Source organism: Homo sapiens, chromosome 16 (assembly GCF_000001405.40).
Source record: "Homo sapiens chromosome 16, GRCh38.p14 Primary Assembly".
Taxonomy (NCBI): Eukaryota; Metazoa; Chordata; class Mammalia; order Primates; family Hominidae; genus Homo; species Homo sapiens.
The window spans coordinates 88,475,114-88,492,384 of NC_000016.10; the positions used below are offsets into that span (position 1 = coordinate 88,475,114).

General features: G+C 63.1%; 1 protein-coding gene across 5 annotated transcripts in view, besides 7 other annotated features; it reads left to right on the forward strand.

Moving 5' to 3' along the window:
• The window catches only part of ZFPM1 (zinc finger protein, FOG family member 1), an 85,263-nt gene that overhangs the window by 23,345 nt on the left and 44,647 nt on the right, over positions 1-17,271 (forward strand). For 3 of the 5 annotated variants that reach the window (XM_011522914.3, XM_047433667.1, NM_153813.3), the window contains exons 2-3: positions 10,826-10,930; positions 13,918-14,040. In XM_011522914.3, the coding sequence (XP_011521216.1) occupies positions 10,826-10,930; positions 13,918-14,040 (228 nt within the window). Of the gene's footprint in view, positions 1-6,329; positions 10,252-10,825; positions 10,931-13,917; positions 14,041-15,271; positions 15,362-17,271 lie in introns of those variants that run through there. The other 2 variants (XM_011522912.3, XM_017022982.2) reach the window with 2 other exon arrangements.
• Positions 2,730-3,655: an enhancer, noted in NCBI's record as "H3K27ac-H3K4me1 hESC enhancer chr16:88544251-88545176 (GRCh37/hg19 assembly coordinates)". NCBI's record gives its function as "activates a minimal SCP1, AML or CMV promoter by ChIP-STARR-seq in naive H9 embryonic stem cells {active_cell/tissue: H9 hESC(naive)}" and the evidence as "EXISTENCE:reporter gene assay evidence [ECO:0000049][PMID:30033119]".
• Positions 3,656-4,580: an enhancer, noted in NCBI's record as "H3K27ac-H3K4me1 hESC enhancer chr16:88545177-88546101 (GRCh37/hg19 assembly coordinates)". NCBI's record gives its function as "activates a minimal SCP1, AML or CMV promoter by ChIP-STARR-seq in naive H9 embryonic stem cells {active_cell/tissue: H9 hESC(naive)}" and the evidence as "EXISTENCE:reporter gene assay evidence [ECO:0000049][PMID:30033119]".
• Positions 5,047-5,547: an enhancer, noted in NCBI's record as "H3K4me1 hESC enhancer chr16:88546568-88547068 (GRCh37/hg19 assembly coordinates)". NCBI's record gives its function as "activates a minimal SCP1, AML or CMV promoter by ChIP-STARR-seq in primed H9 embryonic stem cells {active_cell/tissue: H9 hESC(primed)}" and the evidence as "EXISTENCE:reporter gene assay evidence [ECO:0000049][PMID:30033119]".
• Positions 5,548-6,048: an enhancer, noted in NCBI's record as "H3K4me1 hESC enhancer chr16:88547069-88547569 (GRCh37/hg19 assembly coordinates)". NCBI's record gives its function as "activates a minimal SCP1, AML or CMV promoter by ChIP-STARR-seq in primed H9 embryonic stem cells {active_cell/tissue: H9 hESC(primed)}" and the evidence as "EXISTENCE:reporter gene assay evidence [ECO:0000049][PMID:30033119]".
• Positions 7,787-7,926: an enhancer, noted in NCBI's record as "active region_11353". NCBI's record gives its function as "activates an Ori minimal core promoter by ATAC-STARR-seq in GM12878 lymphoblastoid cells {active_cell/tissue: GM12878}" and the evidence as "EXISTENCE:reporter gene assay evidence [ECO:0000049][PMID:35858748]".
• Positions 8,122-8,627: an enhancer, noted in NCBI's record as "H3K27ac-H3K4me1 hESC enhancer chr16:88549643-88550148 (GRCh37/hg19 assembly coordinates)". NCBI's record gives its function as "activates a minimal SCP1, AML or CMV promoter by ChIP-STARR-seq in primed H9 embryonic stem cells {active_cell/tissue: H9 hESC(primed)}" and the evidence as "EXISTENCE:reporter gene assay evidence [ECO:0000049][PMID:30033119]".
• Positions 8,628-9,133: an enhancer, noted in NCBI's record as "H3K4me1 hESC enhancer chr16:88550149-88550654 (GRCh37/hg19 assembly coordinates)". NCBI's record gives its function as "activates a minimal SCP1, AML or CMV promoter by ChIP-STARR-seq in primed H9 embryonic stem cells {active_cell/tissue: H9 hESC(primed)}" and the evidence as "EXISTENCE:reporter gene assay evidence [ECO:0000049][PMID:30033119]".

A 17,271-nucleotide genomic window follows, 5' to 3' on the forward strand; every position in this document is an offset into this window, starting at 1 on the left:
GTTGATGGGGATCTGGTCAGAGGGAGCCACAGCTCCGGGAGGAGCCATGCCCGATGCCAGCCCTGCACCAGAGCAGGCGAGGCAGGTGGACGCTCCCGTGGGGTGTCGAGGGTGCCCTGGCTTCAGCCATGCAGTGGGCACCTGGCAGGGCCCAGGCCCTGGGGGGCCATCAGAGGGGAGGGTGGGCACACACAGGGACCATGGTGAGGGCAGGAGCGCACGCGATGGGAGGGAAGGTGTGGGACCGGGAAGGGCCTCGCTGAGCTGTGATCCTCCTATGACGTGGAGCCAGGAGGAGAAACTGAGGCCAGCAAGGGGAGAGACCAGACCTCGGGCCTGGAAGCTGCACAGACCTGTGTCCCAATCCCACCCAAGTAACCCTGAGCAGGGGCAGGGGTCCGGGGGGGGGAGCACAGCCAAGAAAAAGGGAGGAGGAGGAGGGGAGAGCGAGCTGAGGCCTGAGAAAGCCCAGGTCCTCTCTCCTGACTGTGAGGACCCCAAGGACAACGCCGGGTACAGGGCAGGGCTCGGGAAAAGGGTGCAGGCAGGCTGCTGGGTCAGCACACCTGGATCTGTGCTATCTGTGTGGCCACCCCGAGGCTCGCTGGCCACTGCCCACTGTCTGCTGCCTACCACTGTTAGTTCCTCTGCTTAGGGAGGGGCTGGGCTCAGAGGAGCCCCAGCATTGCCTGCAGCCGATGCTGCCTGGGACGCACGCGTGCAGGAGGACCTGGGCCTACCCTCGGCCCCCTGGACGGCTGCTCAGCCTGGACACCATTCGGCCAGAGGCTGGGCGTGGCTGTGGGCCCAGGGCAGTTAAGCCCACCAGGTCCACCCCTCGGTTACTGGGTCAGCCACAGGAAGAAGTGGTGGGGCTGAGGGGGTGTGGGTGCAGAACCCCCTCCCAATGCTGGTGCCCCATGACCCTGAGTCTCATCCCTCTCCTCGTGGTGCCCCCACACCCACCCAGGCCTCAGACCCCACAGGGGCAGGTAGCAGGGCACCTTGCCATGGGCACCTTCGGCCAACCAGGTGGGACTCAGCCTGGCTCACCCACCCCAGGGTGAGCAGGCTGAGACCCGAAGGCCCCTCGCGGGAACCAACCAAGCCTCCATCCCTCTGCACAGCCTCCCTGCTGGGGGAGCCCAGGATGACCTAGCCACACCCCCCTCCAAGCCAGCCACACCCCACCAGCCTGTTTCCAGGCCCTGACCCTTCCCGTGTCCATCAGCATTTGCTGGGTACCTACTGTGTGCCGGGCACCGTTCCAGATGCTGGGGGTGCGGCCGTGAGCATACGTGAAGGGAGGGAGAGAGGGCCGCCAAGTGGCAGGGCGGCCATCGTGGGAACTGGGGAGGGCTGAGGGAGGGAGGGGAGAGGGCCGAGCAGGTGCCTGCTGGAAGTTCTGGCAGAGAGGGCAGCCAGGGCAGGGCCATTTTCGGAAACCAGGTGGGAGCTGGGTAGGGGTTTGGCTTTTGCTCCGAGATCCCCGGGGGCCCATGGGAGGCATTTCAGCAGAGGAGGTGAGGGGTTGGGGGCTGCTTAGTGAACATGACCACAAGGCCAAGTGTGGCTGGGGAGGCAGGGAGACAGTTCTTCACACAGCAAGTGTGTTGTGGAATCCAGGCTGTTGGCACCGAGGGAGGGACTCGACTTGAACATACATACGATGGGGGCCAACCTGAGCCAGGGAGGGCTTCCCAGAGGGGCAGGGAAAGGCAGGGAATTTGAGGGCCCGAGATGGTCAGAAGCTAAGCCGGTGGCCTGAGGGCTTCCCACTTCTGGCCCGGGACCGCTTTTGGCTGCAAGACCCTGGCCCCCCAAGGGCAGTGCTTACGCTAGACACACAGTGTGATAGCGATGGAGAGAAGATTTGGACGTGCGCACGCCCGTGCGCCGGGTCCCTTCTCCACACCATCGCAGACCGGGGCCACGCAGACCTTCCCCGCAGCCCTGAAAGTGAGTTCTGGTCTCTGCCAGCCCGGCTTCCCTGCCTTCCATGAGGAAATTGGAACATGGACATAGAGGGAACCACAGGAGAGGAGAGGAGGGAGAGAAGCGGGCACAGTTCACATGAGTGCCGGGAAGGGACAGCTGAGCAGCCACGTGGGCTGGGCGTGTGGGCTTTGGCCTGTGAGGGCCCCGGGTCAGCGGAGAAGGGCACGGGGAAGGTGGCTGATGCTAGAAAGAGTAAGATTTTCAGTGACTCCTTTCAGACTCTTGAAGAGAAGCAAGCACAGATTTGGGTCACCGCGGTGTGTTTCTTTGCCTGAGACTGGGCCAGGTGGGGCCCTGGATTTTATTTGGGCTGCGTGTTACCACCATACCCATTTCCAGCAAACTTTCCTGCCTTTAAAAGCCAAACATGGCTGGGTGCAGTGGCTCATGCCTGCAATCCCAACACTTTGGGAGGCTGAGGTAGAAGGATTGCTTCAGTCCAGCATGGTGGCATGAACCTGTGGTCCCAGCTACTCAGGAGGCTTAGGCCGGAGGATCGCTTGAGTCTAGGGGTTTGAGGATACAGTGAACCGTGATTGCACAGGCACACTCCAGCCAGGGCAACAAAGCAAGACCCCGTCTCAAAAAAGAAAAGAAAAGAAAAGCAAAACCAAGAGAATGCTTATGGGGATGCAGTTGGTTGTATGTGAATTCCATCTCAATTGAATATTTATAAGGCTCTCACTGGGAGTGAGTCAGGGCTCAGGGCCCCTGCACAGCAGCCACCTACTTGAGCCTGGGGACATTCAGTTCAGCAGCAGCTCCCCAGGCTTGGCCTGGAGGGCGTGTTGGGCTCTGAGGCTGCTTCAGTGGGCTTGGCCCTCCTGGAGCCCACAGCCTGAGGCCGACCTCGGAGGGGAGAACAGGGAGAACAGACCTGGGGGTGGGTGGGTCTGGGACTCAGAAGAGGCACGAGCTCCCCATGGCAGGGTGTGTGGGAGCTCTGTCTGTCTGCCTCTTGGTGGAGCCGCTCAACCGCCATGTCTCCCCTGCCCCAGGCCCGCTGGCACAGTTGAGGGGCAGGACCGATGGGGGAGGGTGTCTGGGCCCAGAAGGCACAGCCCGGGTGGTGGGCTCAGGCCACGTCCCCAGCCTGCCACGACTCTCTGGGACCCTGGAGGTTCAGCCACGTGCTCCTGCGCTGGTTAGGGCTCTGCTCTAGTAAGCCGCACCCTCACCGGCATCCGCTTTTGTGGTTGCCCTGGCTGACAGCAAGTGCTGATCCCGAACTGAGGAGCTGCGGGTGGGCCAGGGGTGGGGCTGCTGCAGGGCACTCTTCCCGCCTGGGCCTCTCATAGCCCCCGAGGGCCTCTTCATTCTTCATCTCCATCAGCGTCTGCGTCTACACAGCCGTTCCTGTGTTCTTTCTTTAGCACCTGGTGCCGGCATCCCTGTAAGGGGTCGCTGTCACGGTTGCCCGTCCTGCCTCCCGCAGGGCTCACTGAGCTGCTGTTGCGGGCCCACAGAGGCACACATGCCCCCTCCCAGTCCAGCCGGTGAACCAGTGTGACCTACAAATAAACGAGGCTCCGGCAGAGCTGGGGTGCTGGAAGGGAGGCCTGGACCATGGGGGACGGACCTAGGCTGGGGGAAAAAGCCTCCGCCAGAGGGATGAGGAGGCCTCAACTGCACATAGAGGCGAGGGTTCCCGTAGAGGGGGCAGGGGGTGCTGAGGCCCCAAGGCAAGGGCGGCAGGGGAAGGAGTTGGGGGCCAACCTGAGGACCCATGGGTTTAAGAAGCCAGGTGACAAATGCTACTCGAGGGAAACGGGGGTGGAGACTTCCCCGGGGGCCTGGACCCCACATGGCAGTGGTGGCTCCGGGCCACACCGGGGTGATGGGTTGGACGTGAAGGAGGCTCGAGGCTCCGAGGGCGTGTGCCGAGCCTGGGCTCCCCAGTGGGTAGGTGGGTAGGCACAGAAGGCGCCGTCTGCTCCGGGCTCTCCCAGGCTCTGCGCCCACTCCCTCAGCTGCCCTAGTGCCTGGAAGTCAGTCTGGCTGCTTGATGGATTGCGCGTGAGGTACTGGCCACTTGGTCCTGAGGGTGTGGGCGGTGAGTCCCGAGTCCCAACCGCGGGGCCGGGCTCCCCACGCAGGTGGTGCTGGGCTGGTGTCGCCAGCAGACCCCACTTTGATGGCGGGGCTGGGCTGCTGCTACCACTGCTCTCTGTGCTTCGGTTTCCCTGCTTGGCGAGATTCACGGGATGAGAGATGCTCCTAGCTGGGCCAGGGGGTGTGGACAGCATCAGCCACTCACCAGGGACCTGGGAGGGCGCCGCTTGGCTGGAGGTCATGCTGTAGACTCAACTCGGGTCAGCCTGGGGGACCCAGGCCCTCTGCAATGGCTCACCACGGCCCCCAGACCCAGCCTGGGCCCCAGTCACCTTGCGCTCCCATAGCGTGGCCTCAACAGAGCGAGCGGGGCCGTCCCCGTCTCCTCTCTGTCCCCACCGTGGCCCAAGCTGCCCGCTGCCCAGCTGGTGGGAAAGTCTGAATCTGTTGCTATTTTCTGTCTGTTATCAGGGCCTTATCTGGCCGCTGTGTGCCGCCAGAGGCCAGGTTCTCCCTCCTGGCAATGCTGTGACCCCCCCCCACCCACCTGCTACCCAGGGCCAGCAAGACCAGGAGGCCAGCCCTGGGGGTCTTTCTCTTCTGCCTCCCCAGCCCCACCCCTCTCCCATCTCCCCATCCCATCCTCTGCCCCGACCTGTGCCCCTCTCCGCTCCCCTCCCCGTCCCTCCCTCCCCCCCGCTGCCACCCCCGCAGTACTTCCTCCCCCAGCCCTGGCCTTCACCCACTCACACCCCCCGCCGAAGGAGGAAGATGGGGCACGTCCCTGCAGAGTAGAAACAGTGACAGCAGCTGTGGTGACAACCTCACATCTGCGCCCAGCGCCCACTGCCAACACCTGGCTGAGTCCTAACGCCAGCCTTTGGCAAGACAGTTTGATCCGCTGAAACCAGGCTCAGGGAGAAGCCGCCTGCCCTGTGCCAGCCTCAGCTCCTGCTGTTCCTTTCTCCTGGAGCGCTTTTCCCTGGACCCGGTGCTGGCAGCCTCCTCCTCTCCCCATCCAGATTGCCACCCACTTGCTACTTCCTCCAGGAAGCCTTCCTGGATGGCACCTCTGACTCTTTCCTGTGGTGCTCACACTGGCATCTTCCACTTTTTGGGGGATGGGGCTGGTCACTGCAGGATCTCTGGCACCTCGTGAGGGTGGGGCACGCCAAGGGCTCAGGAAGGGGAAAGGAGCCAGCGAAAGCGAAGGAGGAAGAAGTGAGTGTGTGAGGGGACGGGTGAGTGAGGGAGCGGATGAAAGAGTGAAGGAAAGAGCCGTGGTGCTGGTGGGGGAGGAGCGGGGCCGTGTGGCTGCCAGTGGTCACCCGCCCCACCAGCTGCTCACATGGGGCCTGGGCAGGCACCTGCACCTCCACTTCCTCCCCTCTAGACCAAGAATGAGAGAACTCCCAAGAGAGGCCAGCATAGGCGCCTGTGTCCCCTGCAGGCACCCACTGGGGACTTAGGCTCATCTCAAACACTGAGCCGGAGCAGGGTGCTCCCTGGGCCAGGGCCCTGGTTTTCAGAAGGCTTGCCCAAGGTCACAGAGCCAGGGGCACCGCAGGGGCCTCCCCAGGGGCCTCAGACTCCTCATCCACAGCCCCCATCTGCGCCCCACCTGGCATGTCCACCCTGGGGCCCACAGTCTGGGGGATGCCCCCCTCTCCTCAGCGACTGGCTCCAGCTTTCCGCAAGACAGTCGTTCAAAGGAGCCCCCCAGCGCCTCGCCATCAAAGCCGGGAGGGGCCACCTTAATCGTCGGTGTGGGGACTTGGAAGGGAGCTGGGATCATCCCGCTGCACAGAGCCAGCTCCATAATTCAGTTTTAAAGCATGAAAAAAGGGAGTTGATGAAATTCCGCTATCAGCGCCAAGCCAATATGCAAAATATCTCACCCCCAATCAAATAGCTATTATGTTTTCATTTCCATTTCGGCGTCCGGCTTAATGAGCAGGAGACGGATGGGCGCACGGGTGTCTGCTGGCTGTGATAACCAAGGGGCTCCGGGCACCACAGGGGCTGAGCCCAGTGCTGCCCTGGCCGCCAATGACCACAGCCATAGCCCGTGGACACCTCCAGGCAGGTGCAGCCTTGGCCACTGACCTCTGCCAGGCCAGGCAATGGGGCTGACATCACCCTCACTGCAGGTGGTCCCAGGGCGAGGGAGGCGTGGGGTCCGTGTCTGGCTCGGGGAAGGGCTACGTGCTGGGTGCAGGTCTGAAACCCAGCCCCAAGTTCCTGTCCCACCACCCCCACCCCCACCACCGCTGCCTCCTCGCCGGGGGCCGTGGACAGGGCAGCTCGCAAGTCGGCCTTGCTGGGCCTTGGTTTACTCACCTGTAAAGTGGGAATGACCTGGCTTCCCACTGTGGGTATTGGGATGTGGTTGGCGAGTGGGATTTCCACGATGGCTGCCCCCAAGGTCCTGCTTACGCTACTCCACTCCACCCTGCCACAGCCGTCACCGAGTCCCCGTACTGTCCTCATACCCCCTCCTCCATGCACCCTGTCCCCCTGCACTTTCCTGACCGCCCCTACCTGCTGAGGTCTGTGTGGGCTGCCACCCTCTACACCCCAGGTTCCCCATCTGAAATGAAATTGGAAGACCATCTCGCTGGACTACGTGGGTGGGGGCGGTTAAGGGTGGGCATTTGTAAAGTGCTGAGCACCGCCCGTCCAGTCTTAACCATTCACACCCTTGCCCATTTCTCAAAACCTGTGCTAGCCACAGTTCATGTTCACTGAGCACCTGCCCTGTGTTGAGCTCTGAGGACGCGGGCAGGCTGCACGTTTCATCTCCTGAAGTGGGAGCTGCTGTGGCTTCCATCTGTAGACCGGGAAACTGAGCACAGAGAGTGGAGTGACTTGCTCGAGGTCACACAGCAAGGACGCAGCAGCTGTCAGCCTGCCTGGCCGTGGGTTGGCCTGCTCCAGCTGTTGGCATCACTGGGCAGAGAGAGGGTCCCCAGAGAGGCTAGGGGGGTTCTTTGCTAGCCCCGGGCATGGGGAGAAAGCAGCAGAGAGCAGCTGTGGCTCACAGATGCCCCCAGCCACTGGGGGCCCAAGTGCTCTGTCGCCCACCTGGAGAGTCCCCACGGACCCCAGGTGGGCCACAGACGAGACCGGTGCTGACTTAGGGGCTCGGTGGGGACCAGGCAGCTGCTCTCAGACACCGAGGCAGGCCCAGGGCAGCATCCACCTCGACACATCCTATTTGTGGGCTGACAGTTGTCTCCTGCATTATCAGAGCCGTTTTAATTGTGCTGGAACTGAAATTAGCCTGGCAGCCTCTTTCTCCACGCTCATCACCACGGCTTTGTGTGGAGCAGGAGCCTTTGTTCTTGTGTAAATAGGAGAACCCATCACCATCCCAGCACCTCCCTGGGTGTCTGAGGCCCACCTGGGTGGGGTATGGAGAGCCAGCCCACCTTCCTGAGGCTGCAGCAGGTATGCACAGGGCTGTGTCTCCTGTGGGCCCCAGCCCCAGTGCTCTGGTCCCCGAAGTCCCTGAAGGCAGGTGGCCTCCAGCCCATTTGCCAGAGCAGGTCACTGAGGCCCTGATGCCCTACAGCTGCTCAGCAGGAGGAAGCACAGCTCCTGGGCAGCCCCTCCCAGCTCCATGCCAGCCACAGAAAGCCCGGGCCTCTAGAAGGGGGAGGAGCCGGGCTGAGCTGATCGTTCCGCGTGCTCCCGCCAAGTCGGGGATGGCCGAGCACCTCCTGACCTTCTGGATGGCACTGCCTGCTCAGGGCCGACCCCAGAGGTGGGGAGGGGAGGCCTCGGTGGCTGCTTTTCTGCCCTGGCGTGTGCTGAGGGAGGGCACTCGGGTTGGGCCTCCTGTCCCAGGGGCAGGAGTTGAACCGGTCAGGGGTGGCCCAGCCTGCCCTGGAGCCTGCCCGTGTGGGCGCTTTAATGGGAGGCTGTGAGCCCTCGCCTGGGGCTGGCTCCTGTGTGGTCTGAGCCCAGCCCCCTCCTATAATTACAGCTCTGAGGTGCTCTGAGGAGGCCGGGACTCATGGGTCCCAGCTAGAGCCCCAAAGGCTGCAGCTAGGAGAGTCCAGCCTGCCCCTCCTGTCCAGGACCCCCCATGGCTCCCCGGTGGCACCTGCCCCTCCTGTCCAGGACCCCCCATGGCTCCCCGGTGGCCCCAGGATGAGGGTCCCCTCCTCCCCGTGGCCTCTGAGGTCAGCACGGCCAGGACCCTGCCTGCCCTCAGCCTTGACTGCCAGCACACCCTGGCCCCCGACCTCCCCTTCCTCCACCACCTCTGGCCCCGCCCCAGGGCCTTTGCACATATGGCCCCCTCTGCCAGAGCTGTCTTCTCAGGGGCTGGTCTCACAACAACCACTGTTCCCTCCGAGATCTACCGGCGGCAGCCCCTCCCATCCCCGTGTTTTTCTGTCTTTCTCTCATGGCCCCTTCCCTCACTGCACTTCCAGAACTTGCCATTGTTTTCGGCCGGGGCCCATCTGTTGTTCTCTGACTGTCCCCACAGTGGCCCGGACACCCAGGGCAGTGTTCAGCGATCTGGTGCACCCCTGCATCCTGGAACGGCACCTGGCACCTAGCCCTCGGGTGTCAGCAGAAGGCAGAAAAGGCATCTGCCCCTCCAGGAGCAGTTTGGTTTGACGGCATCAGCCAGCCACAGCCTGCTCATGATCAGAGAGGGGGCTGGAGTCCAAACGCGCAGAAAATCCACCTTCCCGCCTCCCTGCTGCATGGAACGGCGGGGTCAGCCTTGGACATCAGCCTGAAACTCAGTCACAGCATTTCTCCTTCTCTCGCATCTTCGGGGGTCTCTGACATGAGCCTCTGAACCTGGCGTTGGACGCTGGCGGGTGGCACGTTTCTTACTGGCTGGGCAGGTGTTTCGGGCGTTAGCAGGCTCCACCTCCGACCAGCCCATCTCCCTCCCATCTTCTGCCTTTCCCTGGAGAAACAAAGCAAAGCAGGGATCATGAGGGGCTGTGAAGGAGGACAGTGGGGATTCGGAGAGAAGCTCTTGAAGCTGGGCACATGTGGGCGCTTCGGTGTGTTTTTCTGGGGAGGAGGCACCAGGTTTCATCAGATTCCCAGAGGGGCCATGAGGCAAGACAAGCCAGGAACCACCTAGCCAGAGGCGCAAACCCCGAACAGTTCTCCATCCGTGCGGCTTGCTTGCCTCCAGGGATGGGGCGCTCAGCCCTCAGGAGGTGGTTGTTCCAGCCTGCAACGCTCAGGCCTTCCCTCTGGTGTCTTCTGTTCTGCCCCACCCCCACTCTGCCCCATCAGCTCCCCTGACACGTGAACTCAGACACGCGGTTTCCAGACTTTTCTTATTCATTATTCTGCTGTGACCATGGGGCTTGGCGGCCGCAGGACCTGGGGTCTGGGCTCAGGAGGGCCACGGCCCCTCCCACTCCTGAGTGTGTCGGGAGGCTCTGCCCCCATCGTGCTTCACACAGGACAGTAGAAGGCTGGGCGGGTCAGGCCTTGTGGAGTATGGGTGCAGAGGGGGCAGTCGCAGCACGCAGGCTGAGTCAGGGCCTGGGGACCTGGGGAGCAGTCAAACAGGATATGGAAGGGCACCTCTGTCCTCTGTTCACACTGGACACCATCACCCATCACCAGCCCCGCCGGCGGATGTCAGCACACACACCTGCACTCAGCGCCACTCCACAGCCACTGTGGGGTCCGGAGCAGCTGCCCCCGCACTTGGGCCGCGTGGCCTTGTCTCAGTCTGCCTTGTCACCTGTCAGGTGGACTCCTGGAGTTCCCCCACCCCGATGTGTGAGTCTCTGAGGGACCCAGGCCCTGAGGCACTCCACCCCCAGGTGCTGCAGACACCTGTGCCCTGCTTGGTTTGTTCGCTCGACAAGTCTGTGAGCGCCTCCTTTGTGCTGGGTGAGGGTGTCACCCCAGGGAGTTCCCAGACCGAGGGAATGAGTGTGAGGGAAGTGCACGGGGACTGGGCCCCTGGGCGGGGCACTGGCAGGTGATGCCAGGCGGAGGCCGTGGCGACGGCGACCCTCAGGGCCTGGATGGACGCTGGGCCTACAGTACAGGGAGGGCCCACTCGCAGCTCCAGGGCTGCCAGAGCAGGTGGGGGCCTGTCCCCTGGTGCTGGGGGGAGCAGGTGGGAAAGAGACACGGGGTCCGCGGCCCTTCTCTGGCAAGAGTGGAATCCGTGGGCGTGGTGGAGGCCAAGGGTCACGGCAGGTAAGGGTGGGCGGAGGCGACCCTGCAGCTTTGGAAATGTTGCAGAGGGTGGGGGTTCGTCAAGAATCATCAGGTCTTTTTTTTTTTTTTTTGAAACAGAGGTCTCACTCTGTCACCCAGGCTGGAGTGCAGCGGTGCAATCGCGGCTCACTGCAGCCTCCAACTCCCAGTCTCAAGCGATCCTCCCACCTCAGCCCTCCTAGTAGCTGGGACTACAGGTGTGCGCCACCACACCCAGCTAATTTTTGTATTTTTTATAGAGACAGGGTCTTGCCATGTTGCCCAGGCTGCTCTCAAACTCCTGGACTCAAGCAATCCTCCCACCTCAGCCTCCCAAACTGCTGGGATCACAGGTGTGAGCCACCATGCCCAAATGTCAAGTCTTGAGGAACCCAGAGGGAGCCCCCAGCTAACAGCCACCTGTCCTTTGACCTCAGGGTGAGGGATGACCCTCACCCCCACCCATTGCCATTTCCGCCTGGGCACCGGGGCTGTACCTATGCCAGGAGGGGTCAGGAGGCAGGAGCTGTCCCCCCAGAGCTCCTCCCGAACCCCCATCGTCTTGTGTCCACAGGTTCCCTCGGAGACATGGAGGCCAGAGAGGAGGTGCAGTTGGTGGGTGCCAGCCACATGGAGCAAAAGGCCACGGCACCTGAAGCCCCGAGCCCTCCCAGCGCAGGTGAGTCAGACTGAGCCCTCTCACCGCGCCTCCAGCCGGGGCCTCCATTGCTTACCCGTACCATGCCCTCAGAGCTCAGTGGTGTCTGAGAGGTGTGGGCCAACTATATGCAGGAGTCCAGGACAGGCGTCTTCCAGCCAGAGGCCTGTTGCCCGGAGGCCCTCGGTGGGGCTGGGGGGTCTCCAGGAAAGGGGAGATGTGCACACCTGCTGCATGTGCAGCCTGAAATCCAGCCCTCATACAAATGAGCAGACCAAGGCCCAGATGGGGCAGGTCTGGCCCTGGGTTGGATGGGAATCCATGCCCCTCCCAGCCTCAGTAGACCCTCTGTGAAGTGGGGACCATGAGGCCCCCTCCCTGGGGCTTGTTGAGCTGTGATCCCTGCTGGCATGCTGCTTGGGCTGAGTGCACAGTGGGTGCTGGGTGCAAGTGGGTGCTGGGTGCACAGTGGATGACCGCTGGGTGCAAGTGGGTGCTGGGTGCACAGTGGGTGCTAGGTGCACAGTGGATGGGTGCTGGGTACACAGTGGGTGCTAGGTGCACCATGGGCGCTGGGTGCACAGCAGATGGGTGCTGGGTGCACAGTGGGTACTAGGTGCACAGTGGATCGGTCCTGGGTGCACAGTGGGTGCTAGGTACACAGTGGGTGCTGGGTGCAAGTGGGTACTGGGGGCACAGTGGATGCTGGGTGCACAGCGGATGGGTGCTGGGTGCACAGTGGATACTGGGTGCAAGTGGGTGCTGGGTGCACAGTGGATGCTGGGTGCACAGCAGATGGGTGCTGGGTGCACAGTGGATGCTGGGTGCAAGTGGGTGCTGGGTGCACAGTGGTGTCTCCTGCTAAGACACCACACCCCATTCACAGACCAGAGAAGTTTGGTGACTTGCCAGGGTCACTCAGCTCGCAAGTGCCCTAGTGGGGGTCCCACCCAGGTCTGGGTTTAGCCTGATTTCCTCCACCCTCACAGGCACCTCCACATTCCCTGGGCCCTCCTGGTGGCCAATTCCATGGGGCAGGGCATTTCCCAAGCCGGAAGGAGGGCCTGCCCTCCCAGGAGACAGTTAACCTGCCATAAGGAGGCCTGCTGGAGCCAGCTGTACCCCAGACACATCCAGAGACCCTGGGAGAAGGGGCCTCCCTGGGACAGAGGTGCCAGGAGAGGTCAGCATGCTCACCCCCATTTTCCAAGGTCCGAGAGAGACAGCAGCAGGTTGTGGGGTGGGCTCCACCCAGCTCCCCCACACTCCACTTGCAGCCCCAGGCACCAATCTCATACCTACCCCATGCCATGAAACCCTTTGCACACAGACTGTGAATTACCCCCACTCCAACGTGGAGGGGATGTGGCCATACCCGGACCATTTGGGAGGATGCTAGGTGGGTGACATGAGCTGGGGTGGAGGAGAGATGGATGCGTGGGGCTGCCCCTGACGGGCGGAAGAATGCCAGGAGGCAGTGACAGCAGGTCCAAAGGCTCCAAGGCCAACGGGGGTGGGGGAGAGGTTTCAGAGGGGTCTGCAGCCGAGGGGCTGGGGTGGAGATCCCAGGCAGACCTTGGTCCCTGGCTTGGGAGCGGGATTTCTCAGTGGGGACCCCCACCCCAGCATTTCCCAGTCTGAGTGTCAGGGTCCCCGCTGGGTGGGCCGCGGCCCCAAGAGCCCAGCAGGCCTCACCCCCATCTGCACATGCCCAGCCTGCTGCGCCTGGGCCCCTTTTTCTGGCAGGCAGCAGGCCCTGGGGTCACCAGAGCCAGTGGGACTTGACCCCAGGGCTGGGGCCGCCATCTCCCCTAGCTCACCCAGGGACATCCCAGCCCCAGGACGGCCAGGCCAGGTGCAGGCGTCCAGCCCAGCCTCTGGTGAGGCCTGGGACCCGCTGGCTGCCACTCCTCCCTGTCCTTGCCGCCGTCCCCGTCGGCACACGCTGCTCGTGGTACAGCCAGAGCTCTCCCTGGCCAGTCCCGGGGCCGGGCTCTTAACCCTCGCGGAGCCTCCGTTACTGCACATGTGAGCTGGGTGCGAGTCCCTTGGTGGCTGGGGGGAGAGAGCACGTGTAGCACATGTGGACTCCGAGGCCCTTGGCTGTCACCGCCGCCAGCCTTAGTGCCGCACGCAGGTGCCGCCGGCAAGCTGCAGGGCGCCCTGATGGAGGGGCCGCAGCAAAGGGCAGGTGGAGGTGGACTTTGACCCGGGCCGGCTTCCCGGGGAGCCAGGCTCCTTATCTGATCTAGGAGCCAGGGCCGCATGGGGGCGGGGGTGGGGCCCGGGAAGGAGCTGGAAAAAACAGCCAGGGCTGCACCTGGCACCGCCCGTAGTGATAGCGTGGCGATGGGCGCGATAACACAGCAGCGCAGGAGCTGTCTGCCGCTTGGCGGGTCCAGCGAGGCTCCCTCGCGGTGGCTGGAGCTCAGATGCCAGCCACTTTGATTTATAGCCAAAAATAATAGGACTTTTATACTGTGTGATTGACTTATTTGATGTTAATCGCAGCCCTTATCGCGGGTATTAATAATCTGTAGACACGTGACGTCATGGGGTGGGGGGGCTTTATGGGATCGCATCGATCGGGGCCGAGGTGGTTATCAGGCCAGCTGGGAAGGCAAACATGCCCTTTGGGCTGGAATCGGTGCAGGGCCTGGTGGAGGGGCCCCCAGCTGCCAGCAGAGGGGACCAGGGAGCTGGCGACGGCGCATGTGCCTGCTGGCCGGGACAGGCCAGTTGGCCATCCTGTACCCTGATTATCAACAGCAGCTGGAATAACAATTATCTTTGAAGCAATTAATGAGGGGAGAGGGGTTTTAAAAGAGCAAGAGGAAAACTTGGATGTCTGTCCCACCCCAGTGAGAGCGCACCAGGAGATGGGGGTGGCTCTGGGCCCGAGCTCCCCAACCCGGCGCCCAGCGCCTCAGCATCCTTCCCAGCTACAGGGAGGGGCAGCTCAGTGCCCGGCACTCAGCAGGGATGTGACGGTGTTTTCCTCTCTGCAGATGTTAACTCACCCCCACCGCTGCCGCCCCCCACATCCCCAGGAGGCCCCAAGGAGCTGGAAGGACAGGAACCAGAACCCAGGCCCACGGAGGAAGAGCCGGGCAGTCCCTGGAGCGGGCCAGGTAACCACGCGGGTGGTGGGGGCAGCAGCATCGCCTCCCGGGCAGCCTGGCCCGGCCCCTGGGAGCAGGGCGACGTGGGTGCTGGGGCAGGTGTGCAGGTTGCTGGAGACCCACCAGGCCCAGGCCTGTGCCTAGTCCAAAGCTCAGCCAACCCGTGCAGCTGGTGGTATCACTGGAGCTTGGCACCCTCGCGCCAATCCCGGGCCTCACGTGGTGTACAAGGAAGCGCTGGGGGGTTCCCTGGATCAGAGCCTGGTCTGGGCCGCGGAAGAGGATCCAGAGTGGTGGCTGGTAAAGAATCCTCAGAGGCAGGAAAGGCAGGGAGGTGGGAACAGGAGGCTGCGTCTGAGCTGCCCGGGCCCGTGGCCTTCCCAGCTGGGCCGGGATTCAGAGCTGTGCTGAGGTGCCCAGGCAGGCGGTCAGGCCTGAAGGGCAGGAGAGGGCCCCACCCCACTCCAGAGCGGCTGCAGCCTATGGGGACGGAGTCCCATCCACATACCCCGCGGGGCCTGGGCCACAGGGTGTGTCCTAGAGGGTGGTTTGGTGACTCTGCTCCGTGATTTGCAGCTGGAGTTCTGACCCCAGAAGTCCCATGAACGTGTTCTCCCTGTGGCCCCTTCGGGGACTGTGAATTCCATTCATTTATGAACGCAGGAAATACTGGCAGTCAGGTTGTTTCTGTCGTTCCTAATAAATCCCACAGCCCAAGGAACCGCAGTAGCGTCTGGGGTGGAATCCCAGGGCTGCCTGGCCAAGGCCGTCATGGGAGCTGGTGGGTGAGGGAGGGAGGGGGCCCAGCAGAGGCGGGGTGGGGGTCGCAAGGTCCCCCGTGGAGGAGGGACAGCGTGGGGAGGGGCAGGTGCTCGAGCCAGATGCATGTACAGATGCAGCAAGTATTTATTATTTTTTTTTTTTTTTGAGATGGAGTCTCACTCTGTCGCCCAGGCTGGAGTGCAATGGCGCGATCTCGGCTCACTGCAAGCTCCGCCTCCCAGGTTCACGCCATTCTCCTGCCTCAGCCTCCCGAGTAGCTGGGACTACAGGTGCCTGCCACCATGCCCGGCTAATTTTTCTATTTTGAGGAGAGACGGGGTTTCACCGTGTTAGCCAGGATGGTCTCGATCTCCTGACCTCGTGATCCGCCCGCCTCGGCCTCCCAAAGTGCTGGGATTACAGGCGTGAGCCACCACGCCCGGCAGCAAGCATTTATTGAGTGCCTGCTGTGTGCCAGGCATATAGCCGGGAGCAGATGGCCGATGCAGAGCGCGCAAGCGGCCGTAATGACACCAGCAGGGCCCCGTCTGTGGAGAGAAGATGCATGGTGAGGCGCTCGCCGTGCTGGGGAGCGGGAAAGGCTTCGCTGAGGCAGAGGGACCACATTCCTTCCCAGGGGCCAAGATGGAAAGGGGTCAGCGAGGTCCCAGCAGCAAGGGGAGAGTGCACGATGGGTCCATGTGCCCGCCGGTGCAAGTAGGCAGCCGCTTGTTTAACGCTGCCCCTTCCCACAACAGGGCAGCCGGGGCCACAGAGAGAGGGGTGGGCCTGGGCAGCCGCAGCCAGGAGGATGACCCGGCCCCATGGGGAAGCTGAGTTACACCTGCATGGGCTGTGGGGCTGCCCAAGGCAATGCTGGGGCCTCATGGCCACCGGTCCTCACGGGCTCCCCCTGCTGTCCCCCAGGAAGGGGGACCGGGCATCCAGCACAGCAGATGATGTGACTTGCCCACCTGGGACCCACAGATGGTGGGGGTTCCAGGCGCCATGGTAGAAACTTGCTGGCTGCGTCCCTTCTCCTCAGGGACACCAGGTGGGGAGCAGGCCCAGGACACACCTGTCGGGGGTCAGACAGGCGCTGGTGCCTTCGGGGCTCTCGGTCAGGCGCTGGTGCCTTCGGGGGTCTCGGTCAGGCGCTGGTGCCTTCGCGGGTCCCAGTCAGGCGCTGGTGCCTTCGGGGGTCCCAGTCAGGTGCTGGTGCCTCAGGCCTTCGCTGCGGAGTCAGCATGACAGGGAGGCCTTTTCACTTGCAGGGCAGCACTGTGGGGTCGGGAGGGGCCGCCCTGACTGCCTCAGTGTCCCCTGCTGTAGAATAGGGTAGCGGGTAGCAGGGAGGGCGCCCACAGGCCCCCCTCGGGCCCGCAGAGCTCCCACACTCTATCAGTGGAGACCACCCACGCAGTGGCAGGGACCATTGTGTACCTGTGGGACCCAGTTGGCCACTGGGCAAACAGGGTGCTGGGCAGTCCTCACACCAGCCCCAAGAGGGGCCGAGATGGTGACCCAAGTCTCTGGAGGAGGAGACCCAGCCCGGGGATGCAGGACGCATCCACCGTCATGCGGCTGGGAGGTGGTGGAGCTGGGTTTAGGCCTGGAGTTCATAGACACTGGTTTGATCGCCACCCCAAGGGTCCCTGTCCATCCCTGCGGTGTTGAGAGGGGTTAGATCATCCTCCTGTTCTCCAGACGGAGAAGGCCCTGGGGGATGGAGCCTGGCGCCGGGAAGGGCCGGGCCCCTGAGGCCGGCCGTGGTTTGGGGCTGGGGCACACCCCCGAGCTTCCTGTGCTGTGTGCATCCTCAGGACCAGGCGGTGCCCTATCGGCTCCCGCAGATATGAATTTCTGTGCAGTGGGCGGTGATGGGCTGATACGCGGCCGCTGGCCAACCGCTGCAGTGGCTACGGCCTATCAGACCCACACAGGCTGAGCTATCACCCGCGGGGAAGCCAAGGAGGCTCTGTGGGCTGTTATCTCTCGGGGCGGCCCGTGCGTCGATGGCCAGCAGGGTCAGTGGCCCCAAGGGCAGTGCCCAGCCAGGTGACCGGTCCAGTGGCCAGGGCACAATAGGGGATCAGCCACATTTGCCCTGCTCCTCCTGAGCATCTCTGCCTTCTGTCTCCAGACCCTCTCTCTGATGCTCCATCTTGTGTGAGCCCCTCTCTCTCTCCCCATCCCTCCTCGCCTTCTCCCTCTCTCCCTTCCTCTCTCCCTCTCTCTTTGCCGTTCTCCTTCTCTCTTCCTCCCTCCCTGCCTCTCTTTCTCTCTCTCTCTCTCTGTCTCTCTCCATGCCTCTCTCCCTCACCCGTCTCTGCCCCTTTCTCTCCCAATTTCTGTTTTATGGTCTCTGGCCCACAGCTGCTCCCCACCCCACCCAATCCCAAGGGTGGGAAACAGTGCAGGCCCCAGCCCTTCTGAACCTGCCCCAGCCCCTCTGAACCTGGCCTGGGGCCCTGTTCT